This window comes from Homo sapiens, chromosome 11 (genome assembly GCF_000001405.40).
Source record: "Homo sapiens chromosome 11, GRCh38.p14 Primary Assembly".
Taxonomy (NCBI): domain Eukaryota; kingdom Metazoa; phylum Chordata; class Mammalia; order Primates; family Hominidae; genus Homo; species Homo sapiens.
In genome coordinates, this window is record NC_000011.10 from 78,699,434 (window position 1) to 78,726,248 (window position 26,815).

Below are 26,815 nucleotides of genomic sequence, written 5' to 3' on the forward strand. Positions count from 1 at the left end.
TCCTGCCATCTGAGGTTGCTGTGAAGATTAAATGGGAAAGAGCCTGGCACATAGTAGGATCTCAGAAAACAAAAACAAAAACAAAAACAAACTAGTTTCCCTTTCTATTTTAGGACTTTTATCTACCACTTCTGGTTTGTGTTAACAAGGATAACCACTCTTGGGTACCGCTATGAAGTGCAGTCTTTGGAATTCCAGACGCCATTTTATAAAAAAGCAATTGTAAAAACTTTTCCTTCTTCACTAAACATCAACTATAGCTGTATATTTCATCAAGGAAAGAAAGGGAGGGATCTTTCCTGGTAGAAGTGTAGGAAACCGTTTTAGATTTCAGGGGTGGTGGAGCGTAATGGATGCAGTGATGTGTGAGCATTCGGTTTGGGATCTGAGGGAGTGACTTTGGGAACTAATTGAGTGCACAGACTTGCTCTGACAAAGAAACCCCTGTATTGGCTAAATAATGTATAAGAGATTTCCATCGGGCAATGGGCAAAATGGAATTATTTAGCGTATTTCCATTCCAATGAGTTAATCAAGATAATTGCTGTTTTCCTGGATCTTTGTCTTTTCTTTGTAATTAACAAGGTCCTTGTTTGGAGAAAGGAATTTAGCCAGTGAACTTTGTACAAATCGCTGTGACATGTCTGTTCAAATTATATTTAAAAATCAACTACAGATCCTTTTCCTTTGGATTCTCCTAGGACTGTTAGAAACTGATGCTTGATCAAGCTTGAGAAAAACTTTAAAGAGTCAGGTTCATTTGGAATTAACAAACTCAGTGTGGCACTGGTGCGGGGGTAGGATGCAGGGAGGGCAGCAGGGCAGCACTGAGAAAGCCCAAGCTCTGGCATCAGACTTGGACTGCGATCCCTGTTCTGCCATGTCTCACTATCAAACAGTGGGCAAAGGAGCCTTCAGAGCCTCAGTTTCTATGTCTGTAAAATGGATAATATCACCCATCCTCAGAGCTGTTGTGCAGATTAAATGCAGTGGTGTAGCTCCTAGCCCACAGCTAATACTCAACAAGGCTAGTTCCTTCCCCACCTCTCACATGCTTATCTAATGGTGACATATTCAGCAATCTCAGTCGTGTGAACCATGGCTAAGACCTCAAAAAGCAGCTTAAAAAAATCTAAGTAGAAAGAGCGATGTTAGTCCATTCATTAAATATCTCTTAGAGGAACACCCCAGATATATATATTTAATTGTTGCTAGGATTATAATAAGCTGAACTTCTGGTTCTCTGATCACACCTCTTAAGAAGTCCTCCACTGGATGAAGAATAAAGAAATGAGCTACTTGAGGTGGGCACTAGGACTGAAATAAATAGTGACACCACAGCACAACCCTGAGGGAGGAGGCAGAGAAACCTACCCTTTAGATACAGGGCCTAATAAAGTAATGGTTTAAAATCACTTCAGGCAGGGGCAAAGGGCTCTATATCCTCATTTCCCTACTTCCTGAAAGCTCTCTTCATATTACAGCGTAATATGCAATTGTTGTTCCTTATTAATGACCCTGAATCAGAAAAAGAAAGGTTTCATTATGTCTGTGTAGTGTGTTTGAGAAGGGAGGTATGCAATACACTTCATAAGAAAAGTCCCATGCAAAATGGTTAAAATGAAAAGGGTTTTTTTTTGGAATTTGAAGACAAGAGCTTCAATTATGTGGAAAATTCATCCACATGTGCCTGTTCCTTCTCCCCTTGCCACATTTGTGGACAGTGGTCATATGAAGATGCTAGCACTTCATCAGGTAAGTACTTTTCATCTACACCATCTCCCTGTGGTATGCTGGGCAGGTATCCACTGTATCCATTCTACAGATGTGGAAACTGAGGCCAATAGGGATTAAGTCCATGGTAGAGTGGGAACTGATGCCCAGCTCCTCTGACTCCAAAGCTTATGCCTTCTCCACTAGACCATTTCCTTCCTAGGAGAAATCATGTGGAATATGAACATGTAGAATGTATTATAAGTAATAGTTTTTATCCCAAATCCTGAATTAAAATAAAATACTCGATCAATTTACCTCCAATCCTACAATGAATTAATGAAACAAAATCATCAAATGGCCTTGTTTTAGTACTTACTCATAAAATGTTGTCCATCCGTTTTCATTGCTTTTGGTTGCCAGAAGGCCGGAATTGCCATGGTATGTCATCATGGCCAACTCGTGTCCTTGTGTGGTCACACTCTTGAGTGCACTGTTGGTGCCCATGGTCACCCAGTACACCTGGCCATCTGGGACCACCAGCCAGAGGGGCATCCCAGTAGAGTCTCGGCGGACATTTACCATGTTGCCATTGTTGTCTGTGATGAGTGTGATGTCGCCGTCCCCAGTGTAGGTGAAGTTGTACAGGTAGTCTCCTGTGGGCAGGCTTTGGGTGTACAGGTGCTTGCCGGTGGTATCAAACAGATAGAGCTCCTGGTCAATTGGTGAAGACAGCTCATACATGTTCTGGGTGTTGAGGAAAGGCTTGTTCTTCCGGATAAACCGAATTCGGATGTTCCCAAGGTCGGCCACGTAGAGCTCCCCATCAGCACACACAGCCAAGGAAGATGGGGTATTTAACTTTGCATCCTTGGCATAACCATCGTCTCCAGAAAAACAATCACAGTTGGCATCATTTTTACAGTCACAGCCACTGGGGGCCCCAGCAACGAGTGAGATCTCTCCACTAGTGGTGACCTGCCTGATGCGGTTGATCTTTTTCTCATCAGTCTCAGCAATATACAGGACCCCATTGTGTGAAACAGCCAAAGCGGTGGCTGACTCCAGGGTTGCGTGGATGGCCACCTTGCTTAGCAGGAAGTGGTCAATGCCAGGGACCTGGCAGTGCATGGGCCTCCCGGCGACAATGCGCACCTGGTGGTTTTCAGAGATTTGCAGGACCACATTGTTGTCGAGGACATAAAGTGAGTTGTCCATTGGGTTGATGGCTAAGTCTGTGGGCCACTCCAGGTGAACCTGACAATGAAGACACCGATACTCAAATGACTGGCAAGATGCCCACCACTAATCCATCCCATAGCCCATGTAGCCCATAACAGTGTCCAAAGTGGCTTCATATACAGTCTTGCTTGATCCTCATGCAGCCTATCATCAACAATGAAGCGTCAGCCCCCTGATCACCGGGAAACCATGAAAGAGCTGCCACTGAGACATGTGATGGTCTCATTAGACTGACAAAACATGAAGAAGGAGTTAACAACAACAAAATAGTAGGCAAAAGGGTAGACTTTGGAGTCAAATAGGCCTGAGTTCAGAGCATAGTCCACTACTTATGACTGTGGGCAAGTTACTTTGCCTCTCTGAGCTTCAATAGTCACATATGGGAAATGGGAATGACAAGAGCACAGAGTCCCTGACCCACCATAACCCACCAAATAATGGCAGCTGATGTTCTAAGATGGGAGGGAAAGGCAGATGGAGTCTGGAGGCTGAAGTAGGAGTTGTTCAGAGGCTTAAGAAAGATTCTTCATACATGGTTGATATGATACATGTATGATTTCTCAATTCTTTGAGTTCATGGATTAACAGCTGGCTAGCTGCTAGAGACATAAAGACAAGCTAACCATGGCCTCTGTCTGTCATAGTTCTAGACCAGTGATTCTCAAATCTGGCCTCACATTCAAATTATCTGTGGCGATTTTAGAAAATAATGGTGGGAAAACCCCACCCTTGGTGGGTGAAATCAGATCCCTGGGCTTGGAGCTTGGGCATCGGCATTATTTTGAAAAGCTTCCTGAGTGATCCTGATGTGGGCTTGAGAATCATGACTGGATCCTTGCTCCTTATGTGTGGTCATCAGCATCAGCTCACCTAGGAGCTGAGCATAAACGCAGAATGACAGGCCTCCTCCAAACCTACTGAATCAGTATCTGCACTTAAGCAAAATCCCCAGGCGATTTCTGTGCACACTAAGGTTTATGAAGCCCTGCTCCAGACAGTGGTTCTAGTACCTCAGAGAACAGGTCCACCTGGAAAGGATTACTGAAGCTGGTTGTAGGAACTAGGAGTTCAGAAGTGCTGGGCCCCATGTGGAACCTCCTCTGAGCCAGGCTGGGAAACTGGCATAGGTCATGGTGAGTCTTCAAGTGGGCACCCAGGGGATTGTAGCTGGCATGGTCTGAGGGGAGGAGTGTTTTCTTCAGTGGACTTGAAGGCTGGATTGTTGGATCTATCACACTAGGAGGTATTGGCACTAAGGGGAACCCTTTGCCACCTGTGTCTCTAGGAGGTCCAGCCATGTTTTGTGTGGGCTGGAAGTGCCGACAGGTGCACCCTACTGCTGATTTTTCCACCCCACCTAAAAATTCACTGCCTTAGACTTCCTGAGCCCCCTACAAACCCTTGATATTTGGTCCAATCTGGGGTGCGCTTAAGCAAGTGTATACCTTTATTTTAATTTACTTATGTATGTATGTATGTGTATGACTGGGTCTCACTCTGTCACCCGGGCTGGAGTGAAGTGGTACAATCTTGACTCACTGCAGCCTCCACCTTCCAGGCTAAAGCGATCCTCCCACCTCAGCCTCCTGAGTAGCTGGTACTACAGGCATGTGCCACCACACACACACACACACACATATATATATACACACACACACACACACACACACACACACATATATATATAAATATATACATACATATACATATGTATGTGTGTGTGTCTATATATATATATACACGTGTATGTCTATGTGTATGTATGTGTGTCTATATATATATATATATATATATATATATATATATTTGTAGAGACAGGGCTTTGCTATATTACCCAGGCTGGTATCAAACTCCTGGGCTCAAGCAATTTGCCTACCGTGGCCTTCCGAAGTACAGGGATTACAGGTGTAAGCCACTGTGTTTGGCCTAAGTGTATGCTTTTAGATAAGAAGTTTTTCTTCCAGGAATTTACTTTTGTATACCATCGTCTATAAGAGTGTTTTTAATAATGATGAAGCCATTTTTAATAATGACAAAGACCGAGAACCAACTCAAATGCCCAACAACTGAGAACTGGCTAAATAATAGTACATTTAGTTTGCTCATAAATTGGAATACTGTGTGTAGTTGTTAAAAGTGATGTTATAGATGGATATTTAATGACATGGAGAAATGTTTGCTATGTATTAAGTAGAAAGAACAGGTTACAGAACTGTAAGCACAGTGGGATACCAATTGGGGAAAAATATAAGAAGTTTAGCTAGATTATAGATAAAGAGGAGATTAAGTGCTTGAGGGATGGCATATATATCAAAATGTTAACCATAGTAAGATTAAAGGTGATTTTAATTTCCTTCTTTGTGATTTCTAACTTCTTATATTTTCTACAATGTACATGTGGTAGTTTACCAATGTAAAAAGAAACCCCAATACATTATATACACACGAGTGAGGCCACCTCCATCTGTCCCTGCAGCTCAGGGACATTCTCAGGAGGGGGCAGGCCCTTTCTCAGTTCTTTAGAGCATGATCTTCCGGTCCTGCTTTCTAAAGTCTTCTTGTCCCCTTACTCCCAGCTCCCTCTGTCCCTGCAGAGCCAGGGAGCCTGCAAACTCGCCAGGGCCGCTGCCGGCCAGTGCTGCTGCTTCACACTCCCCTCGCTCTCTGGGCAGTGTCGTGGCAGCTTTTGGCTGCATCAGGAACACAGTTTGCTCTAAAGTGACAGGGGAATTTTCAATTTCTTAAAACCCACTTCTTGTCAACTCTGGCCGCTAAATATTTTATGCCTTCTGGTCCTGTGGCACCTTGGGGACCTGCTTGTGGAGACCTTTCTGCCTGTCGTTATGATGAAAAGATCGTTCCTTGATGGGAAGACTAGGGGGAGACAGAGTCAGTGGAGGGAGAGAGGAGAGGAAAGAGAGGAAGGAATGTAGAGCAAGTGCTTTCCTACACTTTCCCCTTATGCCATGTGCACAGAGGTGCCTGGGAAAGGAGAAGGGGCATTGCTCTTGGAGTCAGTCCTCACTCTGTCACACTGCCCGTGTGATGATCCTGCACCAGACCAACTACCTCAGCCTCTCTGGTTTCACCACCCTATTAGCGATGATCGTGCTGAGACTTGATTTCCCATCCCCAAAATGAATGGACTAGACTTGATAATTTCAGAGGTCTTGCAGCTCCCACGTTCTATGGTTCCAGTGTGGAATGGGACCCTCTTCCCTGTCCACCGGAACATTCTGTGCCTTTATTAAAGCACTTGGAGCTGGCTGCCTTGTTGCAGAGTGATTTTCTTGCAAAAATGGATTGTCAAATGAATGAACGAAGGAAGGAAGGACCAGCAAATGGCATAGAGGGAGTGAGAGATTGGGGTCAGGACACCTCACTTCCTATTCCAGTTCCACAATTGCTACATGTGTCACCTACCTCAAGTTTCTTAAACACTGAACATCTTTCTCTATATCTAAAAGGGGATAACACATATTACATAGGGTAGTTGTAAAGCTTAAATGAGACAATGTACAAGGAAGTTTTTTGTGGATTTTAAAGGGAACTAGTATTCACATCCTATTACTAGCTGCTGGGCACTGTACTAGACAATTTGTGTACATAATTTCATTAAAAAATTCATTTCCATATCTCTGATGGAACCTGGTACAGGGCTCTACATTTATAAATGCATTTGCATTCATCACACCTCAGTATTCTTATCTATAAAATGGGGGTAGATCAGCTCTACCCTATGAGACTATTGTGATAGCTAAGTAAGAAAAGAGAAGTTGTACTTATTCTGTACCCCCATTTCTAACAGAGCGCCTGGCCCATACTAAGTTCTTATTTTGGATCCTAAGCATAGAGTTATTCTCTGTCGGTGGTGGCCATCTCCACTTCTTAACAGGTTGCAACAACTTCCTTCTGTTCCTTCTCTGCTCTGTGCCTCTCTCTTTAGTTTCTTTTTGGGCCTGGGTTTGTCTCCTCCCAAAGGAGCTGGTCCAAGTTCCTTGGCTCTCGCCTTCTCACTCATGCCTCTGAGCTGTGTGCTCTCCCTTGCTTACCTCCCTGCTCCCCATGGGGCAGCGGAGTAGAGAGGAAGCTCTGAGAATGAAAGCCAGTGACACCTGCGCAAATGTGTCTGTAAAATAGATGCCAGTATTGGAGAGTTTGGTTAAAGAAAATCCCATGCTGACATTCAGACAAAGGTAGTGAGGGCCTTTAGAGATTTCAGTCCAGGATTTCTGAATCTAAGTGTGGGTTTTAGCATTTTTTTCCCCCTCCGCCATATGCCAGTTGTCTTCCAAGCCTTTGATCCGGCTGCTTGGCAGTACCTCTATCTAAAGTTAAACAATTTTCCGATGTGTGGACTGAAAATTTTCGGCACCCTGTGCTGGCTGGTTGAGGGCCCATTTTGAGAATTGAAAATACTTGTATGCACATCCTTAGGCCATGGCTTCCTGACGGGTAATTCAAGCTTGCTCACAGACTGGAGAGGGAAACTCACTAGCCAGCAAGGGTAAGCCTGCCAAAACTGCAAAGACGAGTGGCAGAGAACAGCATCCACTCTGGAGTGTAATAATCACATTAGCTGGTGCAGAGGGAAACCATCCCAGCATGCGATGGGGAGGTGACATGAGTGCTGGGACCTCCAGCAGCATCCACAAGGCTCTGTGGAAGGACTTAGCGATACATGTCAGTAACAGAGGTAGGCATGACCAGAAAGGCTGGAAGCAGGTGACACAGTCAGTGGAAAAGGGCCTGTGTGTGCAGGCTCCCCTAAAAATGAAGGGGTTTAAAAAGCTAAATGTTGCTGGAGCTGAAATCAATTTGCAATTTGATGTAACTCAATGCTCCTGATTTCCCAGGTTTTGGTAATGTTGGCAAGATTCAGCACAGGCCACTGATTCAGCATGGGCCTGGCCCAGCCAAAGGATCCAGCAACAAAGGACATACCCTTGCCAAGTCATCACAGGATGTACTAAGGACATGCTGGATAGCCAGTCACTTGTGTCTCTTTTTGACCTATAATGGGTTCCTGGTATCCACCTGCAAATGTGCAAACTCTTTGGCATGGTACAACAGGGTCCGTCCCTTCCTGGACCCAAACCATGCTTCTTGTTTTAACTGCGGCCACCTGCTTCCAAGCACCCTATGCTATGGTTTTCAATTTTCCACTATTCTTTGAGTGTACCAGCCTCATTAACATCTTTGTGCCTTTGCACATGCTGTTTCCTTTGTGTGAAATGTCTCCTTTTCTTTCTTGCCACTCAGCAAACCCCTATTCTATTCAACCTGTAAAACTTGCATAAATGTCACCTCTTGTGTGAAAGCAGGCACTCTAACTTTTGTTCATTCATCACCTCTGAAGGGCCAAGCAATGCTAGGAGTCGTGGATGCATTGTTTCATGTATCTTCAGGGTAATCCTACTGGGCCGATGTGAATTATTTCCATTTCACAGATATAAAAAGTGAGGCTCAAAAGAAAGTTACTGAGTGAGTGAGTGGCAAAAGCTAGGATTCAATCAATCGATTAATCAATCAGCAAGTATAGACTGTGCCCAAATTTGGGTAGCCAGGCACCCTGGTTACTGACAGCATTTCTGTCCTCACATAGCTTAGAAAGAGAACAGGCAATGTACAAATACCCATCAGTGTTACCAAAGAGGAAGTTCAGGTGGCAATGGATTTAATGTCACGTGGTGTAAAGCTCTGTCTATCCTACTCTGCTGCTGCTGAGGTTTCCTTAGGGAGATTTCTTCACTGTCCCCTGGGCTTCCACTTGTTACTCCTGATGGTGAACTCCCAGGACATGGCTGTATCTTACTTGTCTTTGTGTCCTTGGTGCTCATCACAGCCTGGCACCAAGTAGGTGCTCTTTAAAGGCTTATCAGTGCAAAGATGAATGGCCAGCAGGCTGGCTGGGTGGCAGATGAGAGGATGAGTGGGCAGTCCCAGGGCTTTGGTAGATGAAGCCATCTTACCTGGGAAATATCCATGACAGAATCACAGCTGAGTGGCCGGGCTGATGTGAGATCATTAGAGCCGAGCAGGGTGGAGATGATCCCATTCTGATCGATGCGTCTGATCATGGTGCCATCCACGAAGTAGATCAGCCCAAACTTGTCCACTGTAATGCCTGGGGGCAGAGAAGCCAAAACAGGAACTCAGCATCAGAGATGACAATGACCCGCACATTCCTGGAGCCTTGCTAACTGACAGAGCACCTCCTCTACATGATTGGGTTTGAGCCTCCCACAACCTTCATTCCTCTCTCAAAGAGGAGGAGTCTCAGGCTCAGAGGCCTTGAGTGACTTGTTCAAAGCAGGGATTAGAACTTTTTCAGATCTTCCAGGGCTCTGGTCCTCCCACCTTGCTGCCTCCTGAGATTTTAATCTATCCCCTTAGCCATCCACTAAACCTGGATTCATAACTTCTGGGGGTTTTTAAGCACTAGAGATACAGTGGTAAGGAGGATCTTTTTCAATATTAACACTGTGAATTATTTAAATTCACCTATTTCTGAAGCTCTGTAATTATAATAATTAGTTCCCCTTTTTGGTAACCATTTTTCTTTTCTTTCTTTTTCTTTCTTTTTTTTTTTTTTTAAAAAAAGAGTCTCGTTCTGTCACCCAGGCTGTAGTGCAGTGGCGCGATCTCGGCTCACTGCAACCTCTGCCTCCCAGGTTCAAGCAATTCTTCTGCCTTAGCCTCCCAGTTAGCTGGGACCACAGGCATGCGCCACCATGCCTGGCTAATTTTTTTTTTTTTTTTTTTAGTAGAGATGAGATTTCACCATGTTGGTCTTGAACTACTGACCTCAGGTGATCCACCCGCCTTGGCCTCCCAAAGTGCTAGGATTACAGGCGTGAGCCACCATGCCCGGCCCGTCCTTCATGCTTTTCTATTCTTATTATTTTAGTCTCACTGATCATTACAAAACTACGGAATCTGAATAGAATCCTATGGATTTGTGTAGAGAATATTGTTGAATTGAATTTCTAAAGGCAGCACACTGAGGAGAGGAGTCAGAATCATTACTCAACATCACCTGCTCCATTCACTAGACTGTCTCACCCTGTTAACTTTCTCCCTGACCCAACTTGTGTGACCTCGGGCAAGTCACTGAGCATCTCTGTGTTTGTCTTCCCAGCTGTCAAACAATGAGATTGCTCCAAATCTGTATTTCTCACTCTTGGATGTGTATGGGAATCCCCTGGGGAGTTTGCTAAACTGCACCCCCCAGGTAGCTGCTTCAAAATATCTCAAGTGGAGTCTGAGCTACTATCTGCATTTTTGACAAGCACCTTGGGTGATAATGACACAAACCAGAGTCTGAGAACCACTCCACTGTATCAGTACCTCTCAGCCTGTGATGTGCATCACAGGCACCTGAAGAGGTTTTTCAATATACACCTGCTGGCCTAACTCCTGGAAATACGAATTCAGCGGGTGGCTAGGACCAGGAACAGGGTGCTTTAATAGTGTACATGGGTGATAGTAATTTCCATCCCAGGTTCAGAATCGCAAGAATCAGACATAACCATGAACTGTCGTGGGATACAGATGAGACATGGCCCTGGGCAGCACCCAGTTTAGATGGAAAGGCACAGGAATGAATCAGTACCATGTGAGCAGCACAAGAAAGGACAGACTCAAGAGGGTCATGGTAAAATACAGGAGATTCTGGTCACTTTTGTTTCACTATGTTTTCTCTGGGGAAGGCAGTGGAAGAAGGGTCAGGAAGCCTTCACCAAGGTGGAGAGACTTGAATTATAAAATTTTCTGGTCGTATTAACTTGGGCATATTACTTCACTTTGAAGTCTTCATTTCCTCATTGATAAAACAGGGATTCTAACATCTGACTTGTAGTAACTAGCCCTCAATAATTATTAATGACCATTGTAAAAATGAGAAAGTGGCTGGCACTTTGTGAGTTTCAAGGCCTTTGCTCCGGGGACCCACGTGTCTCTCACTGGCCAGCAGGGTGCTTTAAGATGCCCAGGGGCCTCTGAGTGCTGAGAACCTGCTGGAGCACCAACTGTTCCTTCTTAGGCTGGTCAGGCTGGAGAGTGATTTCACACAGAGGACCAGGCAGCCTCAAGGCTGGGAAGCCTTTCTCATGGTCCTGTCGTGAATGTACATTAATTTCATTCTGTAAGTGCCAAGACAGGCGTTTTCTTGTCTGCCTAGCTATGCCCCATCTTTCTCTTCCATCTGTTTGGACTGATGAGTGCTCCATGAATAGTTGGGTTTCTTGTTTACAGAGTTGGCTGCACAGGCTAATAGAAGTGATCTGTCCCCTGATTAATTACCTAATTTTTCTCCTTTTGTTGTGTTAAATAGACGGACATCTTTTCTCCTCCCTGCTGCAAAGTGCCTGCATATCGTGGCACCCTTGTCATTTCTATGTGGGTTAATCATAGGCTTTTGGGTAAATGCACTGCCGCTTCATCTGTGTGAGGGTGGGGGGCCACGAGGGCGGGGAAGAGAACACACATGTGTGGAGAACAACTGAAAAGCCCTGGAGGGAATAAAAATTCTTAGAAAAAACTGTTTTAAACCTAAGAGAGTAGAATGTTGTGGCTGCAAAGGGTCTTGGGGATTATTTAGCCCAACCTGTTCATTAATTGACCAATGGGGAAACTGAGGCCCAGAGGAGGAGGTCCCAGGGCCAGCCAGTAGCAGAGGAAAACCATATAGGACTTCTAAGTGCAAGCCTAGTGTTCTTTCCACTCCTGGCTACTCTCTCAGTATTTGAAAATCATAATTAGGCGGGATTAGCCTTTGTTGATACAATATTTACCCCACACAACTACCACCTGACACTCCAGGTATGTGGTAGAGACAATGTGACTTGATATGATGTGATGTGATATAATAGAACAACAATAATAGGAATCATCGTTTATGGGATGTTTACCATGTGCGGGGTACTACTGCGCTAAGCATTTACATTCCTAATATTCAATCTGTACCACAACTGTGCAGCATATCCCTATTACACAGATAAGGAAAATGAGGCTCAGAGAACTTCAATGATTTGCCCAAAGTCACTCAGCTGTAGATGACAAAGTCTGAATTTGAATGCCTGATTTCACTAGAATCTCCTGCTTTGATTTGAAACTAGGCCCTGAAATCTGGGATTATTTAATAATACAATCACTTAGAATGTTTCTACAGGTTATTATTAAACATATTAATTTTGACCATCAGAATAAACCTAGGAGGTAGACACGGATGGCATTATTACCCCCATTCTATCAGTGAGGATCCTGGGGCTGAGACACTGTAAATCACTGGCTATAGGGTTGCAACACAGTGAACACTCCACTGAGTGTGGATAATGATGGCTTCTCCAAAAAGCTTTCCCAGTCTCCAAGGCACAGGGGTCTCTCTTGGCTCTAAACCCCCATGAACAGCTCTTTCTTCTTGCCTCTCAGAGAGCACCTCTTCCTCTCACCCATGTCACAGTGATTCACACTCAAGTCTTATTTATTCTGCTGCAACAAACTTATCTATGCAACCACTCTATGTACTTGAATATTTGCTGAATAAGCGAATAACAAATTGTGATTGTGGGCATTTAGAGGTTCAACTTTTTGAGGGACTCAGAATTGAGACCTACAGTTAACCCACCCGATAGCATATGAACATATGAAAACACGATACACTAAAATGTTTTTGTGTAACAATAACATGAGAGACAGCATATATGTCCAATAGTAGAGGACTGGGACATCCATTTGCTGGAAAACTATATAGTCATTAAAAATGAGTACACAGAAACAATTTAATGACATGGAGAAATGTTAATGATCTAGCATTTAGGGAAAAAAAGCAGTTTGCTTAATGTGATCTCATTTTGTTTGTTTTTAGTAAACACTACATACACACAAACACTTTGAAAAAAGACTAGGAGAGAAGACAGGAAATGTTAACTGGGAGTATTTCTGGCAGGTGGAATTATCACAGTTTTTACCATCCTCCATATATTTCTTGGTATTTTCCAAAAATTTTTGCAATATTAATCATGCATGTTTTTCTGAAAAGGAAAATACCCCAATAAATGTTATTGACAATGTCTCTAAGGCAAGGCCTTACCCCTGGGATTGGTGAGTGTGGCTTCTGTGGCCTTCCCACCATCCCCGCAGCGAGTGTCATCAAAGGGGAGGCACTGGTCACCTGTCCCCGCAACCACCTCAGAGTTCTTGACAAGGTCCTTCACCACCACAGTGGACTTGATTTTAAAGACCCGCCGGCTGTTGCTGTCAGAAAGGAAGACGGCCCCACTCATGGGGTCTGTGGCCAGGTAGTATTTGTGTGCTGGACTGTGACTAGAAAACAAAGACATGGCCAACTGGTGAGCATTTTCTTCTTCCTATGAGTAGCTGGAGATGTACAGATGAACCCCTGGCCCTTTAGAATCCAAGCAAAAATATCTTATGGGGATGATGCCCCTATTTTGGGTGATGGTTCCCCAATTTTTCTGACCTCAGTCATTGGCTTAACTATCCTTCCCACCCACTATTCTTGCAAAAACCCCTTGCAATTCTTGCAAGAACCCCTTGCACTATTCTTGCAAAAACCCCTTCAAGATGAAATGATTAAGATGACCAGCTCAGTGCCATGTTTGTATCAGGTGCTAAATACACGTTTTCTTAAGAAGATGATCACTGAGGCCTACCACTGGTGTCCCGTTCATTCAAGCTAGAAGGATGGATGCTCTTGACTTTAAAAAAACACTTCAAGAGTTCAAAAACACAAGCCCTTTTCCACAGGATCTTTACAGCAGTCCCTCATCTCCATCTTGGGACTGATGGATGAAACCCTGGCTGGCTCTGACTCCCGGTCAGCAGCATCAACACCGTCTTCAGTGGATACTCATGTTACACTTATCAGGAGCCCAGGAGTCTCCCTCTGGCAGTCAGATATAAGTGAACTGCAGGATTAGTTTGTAATTTGCAGTGAAACCCAAGGAAAAAAAATAAGCAACACAGAAGAGCAGTGCTAATGATGGTTCTGTTTCTGGAAAACAGTTATAAAGATCAGGCTGTGCCAACAGAGAGAGAAGCTTGACTGCAGAGATGCCTTGGGGAGACAAAGCACTGCCTCTAGCCACAGGGTGAGGAAACGGCACAGGATTTGCAATCAGAACAGTCTGGGTTCCAAGTCTAGCTCCGTAATTTCCTGGTTCTGAAACTTGGGCAAGTTACCCGACCTCCTGAGCCTCGAATAGTCCTTATGTGCAAAATAGGGGTGTTAACAGCTACCTTGCTAGTATATTGGGGAAACCAGAGATAAAATAAAAAATGCAAAGTAGCATAGTGTAGTAGATGCTCAATAATAATTATTATTTTAATTACCAATGATTGTGTCTCTTCTTGCACTTGGAGATGACTACGTAGTAGATATCTCTTATTAAGACTGAATTTTTTTACCCCCTGGTACTGACATACAATTTCTTTCAAGTCTAGGGCACATCGGAGTTGAACTTGGTGCTTCTGAGAAGCTAATTTTAAGTTCCTGTGCATGGTCTGAACATTTGCCGGGCCCTAAAACTGCATCTCAATATTGGCAGCCCCTTCCAAGTCTCCGGAAGGTATTTTGATTCAAAGGAAGCTCTGTTTGGACCGGATGGTCTGGTGCTGGCCATTTTCATTGCACAGTGAGGCATAAACTGTGCTAAGAGACTCGGGACAGACTGAGCAGTGATGAGAGCACCAGCAGGGCCAGAGCACTGCAGACCCCCTTCAAGATGAAAGCAAGAGAATTTGAAAAGTCTAGAAAGAAGCTATTTTGCATTTATCAGGTATGTAAGTTTGGGGTCCTTTTGAAAAGCAAAATTTTATTTTACAGATTTGTGTTTTTTGAATTCCCTATGAAGGCTGGGGCACCATAATCTTTTCAGTATGTAAGTCACTGAAGGTCTTAATCTGGCCCTGGCAGGTTTGTCATTATAAATGTCTCTTGCCTTGGACAGTGTCCTTGGGGACTGGCTACCTCGAAAGGGGCCAGGCATCCAGATCCAATGCTTTCCTTCTTTGGTTTTCTCTCCCTGAATTCAACTAACCTGATATGATTTTCTCCAACTGTCCTTCCTCTTTAATCCTTCTCGAACCAAGGGGAGGTCTCTCCGCCTGTAGCCTGGGTCCTCTTCAAGCCATTCTTGATCTAACCCAAATACCAACCTGCCATTTCAATGCTTTCCCTTCAAGGATTCCTTAATTCTTACAGAGAAGGTATGAGCTCCCTGCCCCTGCACAAATCCCAGCTTTCTGCTGTGCTGCTCCACCCTCCCATCCTCCCTCCCCTCCCATCCTCCCTACACCTGGCCACAGACCTGTCCCTGCAGCATGCCTCAAGTCTGCCTGCACCTGCTGCTCCTGCTCTGCAGTGTGCCCCGCCCCTCCCTTTCCTACTCACCCTTCACCTGTCAGTTCAAATGCTCCCTCCTCTGCAAACCTTCCCCAGCCTTCTCCCCGTGCATGGAGATTTGCATCCATTCATTGCTGGACGATAGGACATAATGCTGTGACTGTTCATTTATGTGTGTGCCTCCAAAACCCAATCGTCAATACTTGAAGGGAAGAGACTGGATTTTGTTCGTTTTTGTTTTTCCAATGTTCTGCTTCGTGCCTTCTAGCCCATGGCAGCCACTTGTTTTAAGTAGATGGCATGTCTATTTTTAGATTACTTAGGTAGTGTTTGCATTCGCATTATTTAGCTCTTCTTTTACTTCTCTTCTGGGGTTAGCAGTAAACAGGACAGGTATCCTGTCTATTTTGAAATGTCCCCTGAGACTTACCCTATAATGTAGCACAGATTTAAGCTTCCCAGATGACATCAATTCTGGCTACATAAAAGGCGGTGACCTTAGATCCTACTGTGTAATCCTGGGGCAGCCTTGATCTTTCTGCTTTTCTGATGACAGCTCTGAGGCGGGGTGATTTTTTTCATTTCTTTGCACATCACTCATGATAAACTGGTGCTATTTACCTCGGCAGAAAAGGGTCCCTGAGGGGGTATGGTGAGGGGGCCCTGTCCACTTAGATTAGCCCCCTGAGTTTCCAGCTCCTGTCTCCCTGCACTGCTCCAGAGAAGTGTCACTCATGTGGAGTTTCTCAGATCAGTCAATTCCAGGACAGGGTGGCATTGGCAGGATTATCCCAGAGTCCGTAAGAGCTGTGGCTGCATCTTTCAGCCCAAGGACAAATCTGAGGTCTGCTGGTAAGTTAAGCATAGGGAAAACAACAACTAGCTTTGAGCTTAGAAGGTGTAGGCTCTCATTTAGGTGAGTCACCTAAATAGTTCAAATCGTAGGTCCCTTAGCTGTCGAATGACTAAGTCCCTGCTCGGCTAGGCTCACAGGCTTGTCGTTGGGATCAAATGAAATTATACATCTCAACAGCCCTTTCTAGTTTGCAGAGCTCTCTGAACATTCAGCTCATTTCGTCCTCCTGCCACCTGGCCCTGGGAGCTGCAGCTGCATCTATGATGCCCATCTAGACTCCACCAGGCTGCAGCGCCACCTGTCTGCAGAACAGAGCTGCAGAGATGACTACCACTGATAAGAATGCATCTGTGACCACCTAGGGATGCCCATTCTGTCCCAGACACTGCGCTAGCACTTGATGCACACATGACCTCATTTTCTTCACAACTACCATATAAGGTAGGTACTTTCCTCCCTTATATTTCAGAAAACTGAGACTGGAAGAGGTGAAGTGACTTGACTGGGACCACAGATTCCTAAGTGGCAGGATGAAATTCCAACCGAGTTCTGCTTGACTCCAAAGTCTGTGTTCTTTCTACTTCCCCACCCTGCTGCCCAGGATCTAAAAGGTTCCTCTGCCCATATTCACCTGGGAGTACCTGCTCATCTTCTGAGGTTCAGCTTATCTGTAATCCCATTCCTGAACCCCCTCTTCTTCCCCACTGGTAGAACTGGCCTCTTCCTTCATTGTGTCTCCACTAGAGCTTACAAAGTTTATACTTTTAGTATCTGTAGCACCAATTAAACTTTTCTGTTTAATTGTCTGTCTTTTGGATGAAACCTTGAACTCCTCAAGAGGAGGGACTGATTACCAGTCTCTGCGGCTTTGAACTGGGCTGATGCAGAATAAGTACTCCAGAAAGTTCTGCTGAATCAGCCTCCCTGGCTGGAGTATACATAGGAAACGCTCACTGCTAACAATCTTAGAGTGATGGTTCTCAAACATGGCTACACATCAGAATGGCCTGGAGAGATTTAAAAATAGCCCTACCCATAATGATTGAAGGGTGTGGGCATCTATACCTTTGAGATCTCTCCAAGTGACTTGGAGGCACAGCCAGATTTGGGAACCATGGCCTTCGAGCAGTTCTTTTTCAACTTTAATGTGCCACCTGGAGCCCTTGCTAAAATGCACATTTCAATTCTGTAGCTCTGGGGCGGGGAACTTGAGAGTCCACATTTCTAACAATCCCCAGAGCAGGCCAGTGTTGCTTGTCTGTATTTTGAGCAGCAAGGCCTTAGAATACTCTACAAATCATAAATGTCTCAGAGCATGAGACGGAAGACGGCCTTCAGTGGAGGCCTCAGGCCTGGCTGTGTGGACAGGGAGCATTTCCTGGAAACGGACCATGTCTGATTCTGATTCAATTCTGATGCCCAGTATCCTGAGCAGGGCTGGACACAGAGTAAGATCACAGCTTCATTTTCAGTTTGCTGTAGAAGTCTCTAAGGACCCACATTCTCTTCCAGTTCCTCAAACATAACCTTAGTTTCTCTGGAAGTGATGTAAAATCAAGAGGCCTTCAGGGTACCATTCCTGAAGTTAATGAGCTGAAGCCAAGCTTCACTCTGCCCTCATTCTGGATGGTGTTTGGAATTTCCCAGTAGGAGCTGGGAACCTAGGAGTCTGTAGGGACATACAGGCTCACTTCCTTGTGAGTGAGAATTCTCTTTGTCTCTAAGTAAGGTCTGCCTCATGCAAAGGAGTGTCCTTCAATGACAGCAGTTGGCAGCCCTGGCAGAATTTGATTCCCTGGTTCTCAGAACCAGTGGGAAGAGGTTGAGTGTTGGAGCCACACAGTCAAGGGTTCAAATACCAGTTCTACCATCCACTTGGCTAAGTGACCCTGGTCACATCACTTCTATAGCCTCAGTTTTCTGAAGCTGAGAAATGGGGATAGTCACACCTATTTCAAAGGATTATTTTGAGGACAAAATTGCATGAAGAATATAAACCTCTGAGCATAGTGCCTGTTCCACTAAAAAATAAAATACCCAATAAATGGCAGCTTTTAAGCAAAGCTGGTTCCTTTAGAAACTACTAGAAGATTTGGTGCACAGTGGAAACACTAAGTATGTCAGACTTTATTTTGTCCTGCTCAACCTATTTCCCGGGACAATTAAGGGCTCTGAGTTAATATAATATGTGTATCTGGGTTTGATGGACACTGGAGTTCAAATGTACTTCTGAAGAAAAGGCTTCAAACATCTTCCATGACCCTGGGGAAGAGCTCTGGGACGAGGCAAAGATGCTTATTTCCTGAAGGAGTCTGTAGAGGAAGATGCCCCATGGATTATGGGTTTCTGTACTGAGCATGCCCGACACAGCAGGCTGGCACTGAGGCTGGAAAAGCAAAAGGCAGACATGAGTCTGCTCCGGGGAAGCACACACACAGCCTACAGTTGCCAGTCATGGGGCCAGACATATTACTGGGAGTGGCTGGGACAGTTAATGGAGGAAGAGATACAACTCTATAATTTTTAAAATCCATCTCCAACATTTACTGATGGGGACACTGAAGCCCAGAGAGAGGAAGAGATTTGCCAATATCCAGGTGGCAGTTAATATCAGAGCTGAACCCAGGCTCTCTGTCTTCTGGTTGTCTTTAGAAAACTGCAAGGCAGAAAGTGATTCATTTTTTCCTTTCTACTTTGGTTCATCTTAGAAAGTTTTTAGTACCGAAGAAAACAATTAATTGACGAAGGGTTTAAAGTCATACCATGAATATATAAAAAGATCACTGAACATCAGAAACAAAATGTTCCCAAACCACAAACTCTTTCAGTTTATACATGAGACTGGAAACCAGAAACGCCAGGTAACCAGCCCAAGGCCATATGGTGAATGTGCAGCAGGGCTGGACAGCACCTGGCCTTCTGACTCTTCCCAGCTATGTCCCCCTGGGTCATGGCTGTGTCCTTTGCAGCCGCCACCACTAACTGAATGTTTCAACATTAAATGCTAGGCTTTAATCCAAGACCTGCATGTGAAATGTACTTCTGTGTTTTCTGTACAACTGAAGTTGAAGGCATGGGTCATTACATAGTTCAGTATCATCCATACAAATCTCATTGAAAATCTCAGATTTCAGTGTCAGGAAAAAAATGTTCTCTTCTGAGAAATGGGCATGTTTTCAATTTCTGATGCCATAAAGTATGAAAATAATTATGTTTTCTTATTTACACTGGCTGCCAGGAAGCTCAGAGCTTAATCAATAAATAATCACATATATGTTTCCTCCTTTTTTGTTACCAATTTCTCTTTGATTTACTTTAATACATGTGCCTTTGGGTGTAAGAGGATTTAATTCCTTTTTGGGGAAGATGGAGACATCATAATTATCATATAATAATAATTGTTATGATAATAAATTATAATACTGTTAACTCTATAGGATGTTATCATTATTATTACTACTACTACTATTTCTGGAGCTCCTCCCTGTGCCTAAAAGTACTGAATAGTTTACAAATATCTTCTGTGATCATTACAACAAGACTCCAAGGGAGATTTTATTAACCTTATGTTAGAAACTAAAGCTTAGAGAGATGAAGGAATTTTTTCAAGGCCACATAATTGGGGAGCTTCAGTTTTCTCATCTGTCTACTGATGTAATCATGGATATCTGCTTCACAGAGTGGTTTGGCGATAGAACGCTATAGTCCATGTAAAGGACATAACCCTCTATCTGCTACATAGTAAATGTTCTATACATGTGAATTATTAAATAATTATATTTACTACTTATAAATATATTATCTTAAAATAACACATACAATTATTACATGAATAATGAAGCTACTTCAATTGAAAGAGATAGAATCATTACTGGATTCTGGGTCTGTCTGACTCTTTCCACCACCCCTAAGACTTTCTTTCATCCCAACTTAGCACCACCCTCATGCCACTTTGATCTGAGCTGCAGGTGGATAACTGAGAGCCACTTCTGTGGCCATGCAAGCTGCAGCTCTATCTGCCCATGGTTACTTTCCAAGTCACCACAATGTGTGTGAGGTCAGGGGACTCTGAGGTGACTGCTATCCAGGAGTCAGGTGAATGCCATAGTGACAGGTGATGCTGACAGGCAGACACTTCTCTTGGTGTGCCTGACTAGACCCATTTCTGTTTACTGCATGTCGCTGTGAGTCTACATGACAAACCTACTCTGGGACAAAGTTCCTATTTGGGGATTGATCTCTGCAGTTGGTTCCTGGAGCCTGCTTTCTCACTGATGGCAAGCCTTTTGGGTGGGGTTGCCTGGCATCCCCAAGCTGAGGCACCTTGAATGCCCACAGAAGTGTAAATGTGAAATCTGTCTTCTTCCAGATTGTTCACCTGATCAAGATGTTCTCAGGACTTCCTATCATGACTATCAAAGTCGTTCAATGCAGTTAGGATGACATCCTCATTTATTCTAAGGATAAGCAGGCTGTAGCATTCAAATTACTATTCCAAGGTTCAAATTCTTTCCCATATTACTTTCAGACTATCAAAGTAACTGCCTCACTTTGCAACAGATCCAAGGAGTTCAGGCTCCTGCCACCCATTCTTGCCATTATTAATGACTTCCTCCCATTGCAACTGATTACCCCAATCAGTTCCAATCACACAGGATTCTTTTGCCATACAGCCATTTGAAATTGACATGTGCAGCTTACCATACAGCATGCAACAAGGCAGGGGTGAGGCAGGAAATTCTCCACTGGTTGGCTTACCTATGTCTGAAATCTTTATTTCTGACAGAAGACAGGAGAGCAGGGAATAGAAGAAAGAATGAGGTGTTAGCAGCAGGGTTAGAAGCATTATTAGCAGCCTGAAAACTTGACAGCAATGGTACTATACAATACTGTAATAAATAAAGACTTAGCAGCTGTGACACTGATGTATTTTATATTGGATATTACTTGTCAGTAAGTTCACTTACAAGCAGCTACATATCACAGAAGAGGCATGGTTTCACCTGCACCACTACTGCTGACTTTGGGGGAAGAGGACTAGGTTGACACATTCTGCTGCTTTAACAAGGGCTAAGACAGAGATTGGAATAGTGGATTCTCTCCTCTGTACAGACACATACCCAGAGATACACATGCTTACTGCCCTGTGTCTCCACATGCACACTTCCCTACAAAGAGTTACCCAAATTTGGGTCACTTCCCAGGAGCCTCCTCACAATAGAATACAGAATTGGAGATAGACTATAATTAGAAGGGAGGGTATGACACAGAAACAGGCCTAGGAAAAAAAGACTGGAAGAAAAAATATATCAAAATGATAATATACTTCTAAATTTATTTTTTTCAAATTTCACTTATATCTCCCTTCTTCACCCACTGTCATGATCTCCCCAACAACTGTGGGAGGGAGGCAGGGAAAATGGGGTCTCTTATTGGAAAGAGGTGAAAACGGAGGTCCAGGGAGGTTCAGTGATTAGTCCAAAGTTGCACAGCTTCTCTGCCGAGGCGAGCTGATTTCCTCGTCCATGGTGCTTTCTGTTGTGGTCCATATATGCAGTTGACTGACACAAATACGCTCAAAGAATCCTTCTTCCTTGACAGATGTCTGTGCCAGTCAGACTCATAATAGACAGCAGAAGGGCAGAGAATATTCCCCTGGTGGTCCTCTTCTCATTCAGCCGATATCTGATTTCCTATGAACCTACCGCGTGTGTGCTTGTCTGGCCCTGTGTGTGGGGCCAATACTAACTCTTCTCTTTAGGGCTTATGGCTGTTGGCCCTGCCTTCCTTTCACGCGTGCGCCTTAGAGTGAGATTCTTGCAGTAGGATCTTACCTCCAGGGAGGAACTTAACAAGGCATTAAGTCGAAGTGGCTCTCATTGGGCCAGGTGACAAGGCTTTGGCGAGGCAGAGGTGTGTAATGATCTCTGGATTCGGGTCCACCATTCTAGAAGCTGGACCTCAGGCAGGTTCTTTAAATTCCCTAAGCCTCCATCTTTTCATTTACCAAAGGGGAATAATAATAAACACCTTACGGAATTGTTATGCTTGGCAAATAGTAGGAACCCAGCAAAAGTGAGTTTTCTTTTCCCCTGCCCACTGTGGAGGAAGGCTTTCCAGCTCTAGGGCCTGTCCTGCTCACATGCACCCTGGCCCAGAAGACAGGCAGATTCCATTCCCTAAAGGAGTTGGGAGGGAGCTTGGCGCAATTCCTCTTGAAAGGGAGTGTGAGGCTCCCTTATCTCTAAAGCACAGCTCTTCCATGACCCCTAAGCCCACCCTATGACAGTGCCCTGGTTCTAAAATGATCTAGGTTAGGGAGGCATAGAGAAAAATCCAACATATCAGGTCCTTCCCGGAGCTCTAAGCGTGGCTGTGCTCCATCACTCAGGGTCAGGATGGGGAAAGAGGCTGACTCAGCTGCTTCTGCAGCACCTGAGGAGCAGAGAGGTCAGTTTTCTCGATATTGGTCAGTTGAAGGGAACTGCCCTTGGGCTCAAGGGATCCTCCTGCCTGAACCTCCTGAGTAGCTAGGACTACAGGCAGGTGCCACCACACCCAGCTAATTTTTTAAATTATTTTTTTGCAGATGGGGGTCTCATCAGGTTGCACAAGCTGATCTCAAACGCCTGGCCTCAAGTGATCCTTCTGCTTTGGTCTTCCAAGGTGCTAGGATTACAGGTATGAGCAATGGCACCCAGCCCCTTGTTTTTATAAAAAAGGTTCATGTGACTCATTCTAATCAGTTTACTTCCAGGAAACAGAAAGAAGATTCAGTGGCTTCCAAGGAGTCTAATTTTTGGCTGCTAGCAGCCTTCTATGTCACAGATGTACTCTGGATGCCAGGGACATCTCCCTGTCCTGGGTAGCTTGTCTTCACTGTAGTGCACTGGGGAAGCAGCACCTGCTTGAGCTGGGAGGTGAAAAGTCTCAGAGCCTGACGGGCAAGGCTCTGTCCTATCCCACTTCCCTGGGCTCAGCAGGTAATGTGGCGGGGCCCAAAGGATGGCAAAGGCATATTATTAGGAACTATGAAGAAAGCATCACCTTACATACCTCAGCTCTAGGATGTTGGTGACATTTCCAGAGGGGAAGATCCTTCTAATGTAGTTGAAATCACCCACATAGAGGCTCCCGTCAGAGCCACAGGTGAGGGCCACTGGGGCCAGGAGCTTGTTGCCGTCAGCAAGGCCGTTGCAGCTGGGGCAGGAGATGCTTCTCCGGCGCCCATTGCCCATGATGCTCCCAATGACAGGAGGCTGCTGAGACACAAACTGGTTCTCCCCATTCCCTTTGTGCAGGATGCCTGGGACAAGGAAAGAACAGAATTGCCTGTGGAGCAGGAAATGGGTATCTTTTCCTGTGGTTGACCACAGAGTCACCTGATTTTGCAAGGCATGCAAGATCTCCATCAACCATTTCCAGGATCATAGCCCAAGGCTTTGCCTCACCCCCCCAATGGAACCCAGATTGTCCTAAACAAGTCATACAGATTTAATTCACTCCATAGCTCTGTAAGATAGACACTATTATTATCCCTACTGTAACAGGGGACTGTCCAGGTAACTTAACCGACCTTACCCAAAGTCACACAGAAGATAAGTGGAAGAGCTCCAGAGTCTGGGCGCTTAGCCATTCACCTACACTGCCTCTCAGGTAGGTTGTCCATATCTCATGTACCCAGTCCATAGCTCTATGACAGCATGAATTATTTATCATACTTACTTGTTTTTCTCTTTCAATTGATACCATTTCAAGTGTGGAGACTATGTCTTTTTCCTTTCTGTATCCCCAGTGCTTAGCGCAGAGCTTGACACAGAGTAGATACCAGTGAATGTTTATAGAAATGAATGAGTGAAACTCACAGTCTCTTCTCATCAAAGGAGAGTCAAGAAGCGACAGGCTTTTACCTGGCTTTGTTATTAATGGGCTGATCCCAGCTCCTGTATAGATCTCTTTACTGCTTTAACTGCCCTTGGGCCTGTTTCCCCACCAACAAAATGAGGGGATTGACCTCAATGACGCAAAAGCTTCTTCCCATATCCATCCTGTTTCTTTTTAGTCTGGATCTTCCTTTTTCCTCATGCACACTTCACAGCCTCCAAACTGGATCCTCTGCCCGCTGCCTCACCTCTTCCATACTGAAGCCCAAGTGAGCTGTGCTCTTACAGATCATCAGGATCTTCTCCCAAACTGTTACCTGTTAGCTTTGTCAAAGCTGTCCTTTGTTCAATGGATAGCTTTAATTTTTACGTACTCTAATCAATCATTTTTCTACCTTAAAGTTTGTACTTTGTTAGGTTTTAGGAAATCCTTTCCTGAGATTTTTACAAGTACTCCACTAATTAATTAATTAACTACTTTCTTTCTTTTCTTTTTCTTTCTTTCTTTCTTTCTTGCCTACCCTCCCTCCTTCCCTCCCTTCCTTTCTCCTCTCCTCTCCTTTCCTCTCTCTCCTTTTCTTTTTTCTTTTCTTTCTTCTTTTTAATTGAGACAGGGTCTCACTCTGTTGCCCAGGCTAGAGTATAGTGGCATGTTCTTGACTTAACTGTAGCCTTGAACTCCTGAGCTCAAGTGATCCTCCCACCTCAGCCTCCTGAGTAGCTGGGACCACAAGCATGTGCAACCACACCCAGCTAATTTTTTAAAAACAATTATTTTAGTAGAGATGGGGTCTCACTATGTTGCCAGGCTAGTCTCAAACTCCTGGCCTCAAGCGATCCTCTCGCCTTAGCTTCCCAAAGTGCTGGGATTATAGGCATGAGCCACGGTGCCTGGCCTTTTAAATATTTTCTTCCATCAATTTTAAAGTGTTATCTTTCTCATTTAGATGTTTAAGAAAACATCTGAATTTACTTTATATATAGTGTGAAGTGAGGACTTAATTTATCTCTATATATTGAGCCAATTTTCCCAATACTAAGTTCTAAAACACCCATCCATTCTCCACTGATATATGATGCTATCTCTGTCATGTTCCAAGTTCTTATATACACATGGTATGTGGCAGAAACTTCTCCTTCCTATCCACCCTTTCCTTCTTTTGCAGTTACAGAATCCCTGCTATTTAGCTGGGCACGTGACTGCCTGGAACAGACCACGATCCCTGGCTCCAAGGCAGCTACATCCACGACTAAGTTCTTGCAATGGCATGTAAGTAAAAGTGATATGGGCAGCTTCTGGGAGGTGTCCTTACAATGCAAGGGACTTGCTCTTCATCCTTGACCTCCTTCCTGATGGCTGGAAAGTGGATGTGAAGGCTGGACCTGAAGTGGTCCCCTTGGATCATGACTTTGGAGATGAAAGCCTGAGTGGAGCACAGAGAGAGAGGAGCCTGGGTCTCAGACCCTGCAGCCCTGGATTATCTACCTCCAGACTTGCAGAGTGAGAAGTGAGGTGAGTGAGAAGCAAACTTTATTTCCAATTCAGTTATTTTGGCTTTTCTGAAACTTGGGGCCAAAGCTTAGTTTAATTACTCTTCCCAGGTCAGTTTCTGAATGCGTTCTATTCCACGGAATCAATTTATCTGTTCCTGTGCCAGCACCACACAGTTTTAGATAATATGGTTTTTCTAGGATAGCTTAATATCTGGTGAGTCCCTCTTCTTTGTTCTTAAAGGCTGCGTTAGCTATTTACAAGTCTGTATTCTATCGTAAATTTTAGAATTAGTTTGTCAATTCCCCCTGAAAACATGCTGTGGTTTTGATGGGCACTCACTGCCTTTTTAGATCAGGCAGGTGATATCTGACATCATTACCATATTTAGCTGTCCCATCCCGGCTCATGGTCAGAGTGAGTTATCTATAATACAGATCTGATGGTGCCACTCGCATGCGTTAGTCCCTGCAGAGGCTTGACATTTGCCTTGGATGAAGTTGAAAGTCCTAATCTTCTTACCCTGGGTTCCAGCTGCTCACACCCAAGTTTTGTCTTTTGCTGTTCCCTTCATGTCATCCTCTGCTTAAATCACAATGAACCTTCTCTCCAGTAACTTTCTTTTAGGCTTCAGCACTTTGGCACATACTGTACCTTCTGCCTAAAATGTTCTCCCTACTTGATACACAGGGCTAATCCTATAGACCCTCTGAGACTCATTTCAGGAGTTCTTGCCAAAGAGACACATTGATGAACCAAGACGCTGGGTGAGGTGCTCTTCTTCTAGCCTTCATAGTGCCCTGTGCCTCCCTCTGTGATGTCAGGGTGCATATGGCACAACATTGAAACTGCCTGGTGAGTATTTGTGTCTCACAGGCATAAAGCCTTGAGGCCATTCATTTCTACATCCCCAGTGCCTAGCACAGTGACAGGCTCAGAGGAGGTCTTCAAGCAATATCTGTTGACTGAGCTCTCTGACCACATAGGAGCCTATGGGATTCAAAATGTGAATTTTTTGTTTGGCAGGGCACAAGGGATATGAGACAAGGTTCCACCCCAGCCTGGTTCAAGTAATTCTATTAATCCACTTACCACTTTGAATGTTGAGGGCATGATGTTTGTCTAGGCTCCATCCTCCAAGCTTGGACGCGTCAATTTCATAGCCCTGCAGCACTGTTGTTCTTTTTTCCCACAGGATTAGATCTGGGCAGGATTCATATTCATAACCCACGGAAACTGTAGGTGACAGAATGAGGCAAAAT

General features: G+C 44.5%; 1 protein-coding gene and 1 long non-coding RNA gene across 11 annotated transcripts in view, besides 1 other annotated feature; one reads left to right on the top strand and one right to left on the bottom strand.

Annotated features, from left to right (window-relative positions):
- The window catches only part of TENM4 (teneurin transmembrane protein 4), a 788,202-nt gene that overhangs the window by 46,605 nt on the left and 714,782 nt on the right, over nucleotides 1-26,815 (bottom strand). For 7 of the 10 annotated variants that reach the window (XM_047426736.1, XM_017017525.2, NM_001098816.3 and 4 more), the window contains 6 exons: nucleotides 26,646-26,789; nucleotides 23,235-23,484; nucleotides 20,937-20,957; nucleotides 13,049-13,281; nucleotides 8,928-9,082; nucleotides 2,093-2,970 (listed from right to left, as the gene is read on the bottom strand). In XM_047426736.1, coding sequence (XP_047282692.1) covers nucleotides 2,093-2,970; nucleotides 8,928-9,082; nucleotides 13,049-13,281; nucleotides 20,937-20,957; nucleotides 23,235-23,484; nucleotides 26,646-26,789 — 1,681 coding nt within the window. The remainder of the gene's footprint in view (nucleotides 1-2,092; nucleotides 2,971-8,927; nucleotides 9,083-13,048; nucleotides 13,282-20,936; nucleotides 20,958-23,234; nucleotides 23,485-26,645; nucleotides 26,790-26,815) is intronic. The other 3 variants (XM_047426739.1, XM_047426737.1, XM_047426741.1) reach the window with 1 other exon arrangement.
- Nucleotides 14,327-22,859, top strand: LOC124902724 (uncharacterized). Its single transcript, XR_007062800.1, has 3 exons — nucleotides 14,327-14,756; nucleotides 16,366-16,619; nucleotides 22,768-22,859. It is a non-coding gene; the product is annotated as an uncharacterized LOC124902724 (long non-coding RNA).
- Nucleotides 15,696-16,895: an enhancer, noted in NCBI's record as "P300/CBP strongly-dependent group 1 enhancer chr11:78426174-78427373 (GRCh37/hg19 assembly coordinates)". NCBI's record gives its function as "activates an origin of replication core promoter dependent on BRD2, BRD4, P300/CBP, MED14 and CDK7 cofactors, with strong dependence on P300/CBP, by STARR-seq in HCT116 cells {active_cell/tissue: HCT116}" and the evidence as "EXISTENCE:reporter gene assay evidence [ECO:0000049][PMID:35650434]".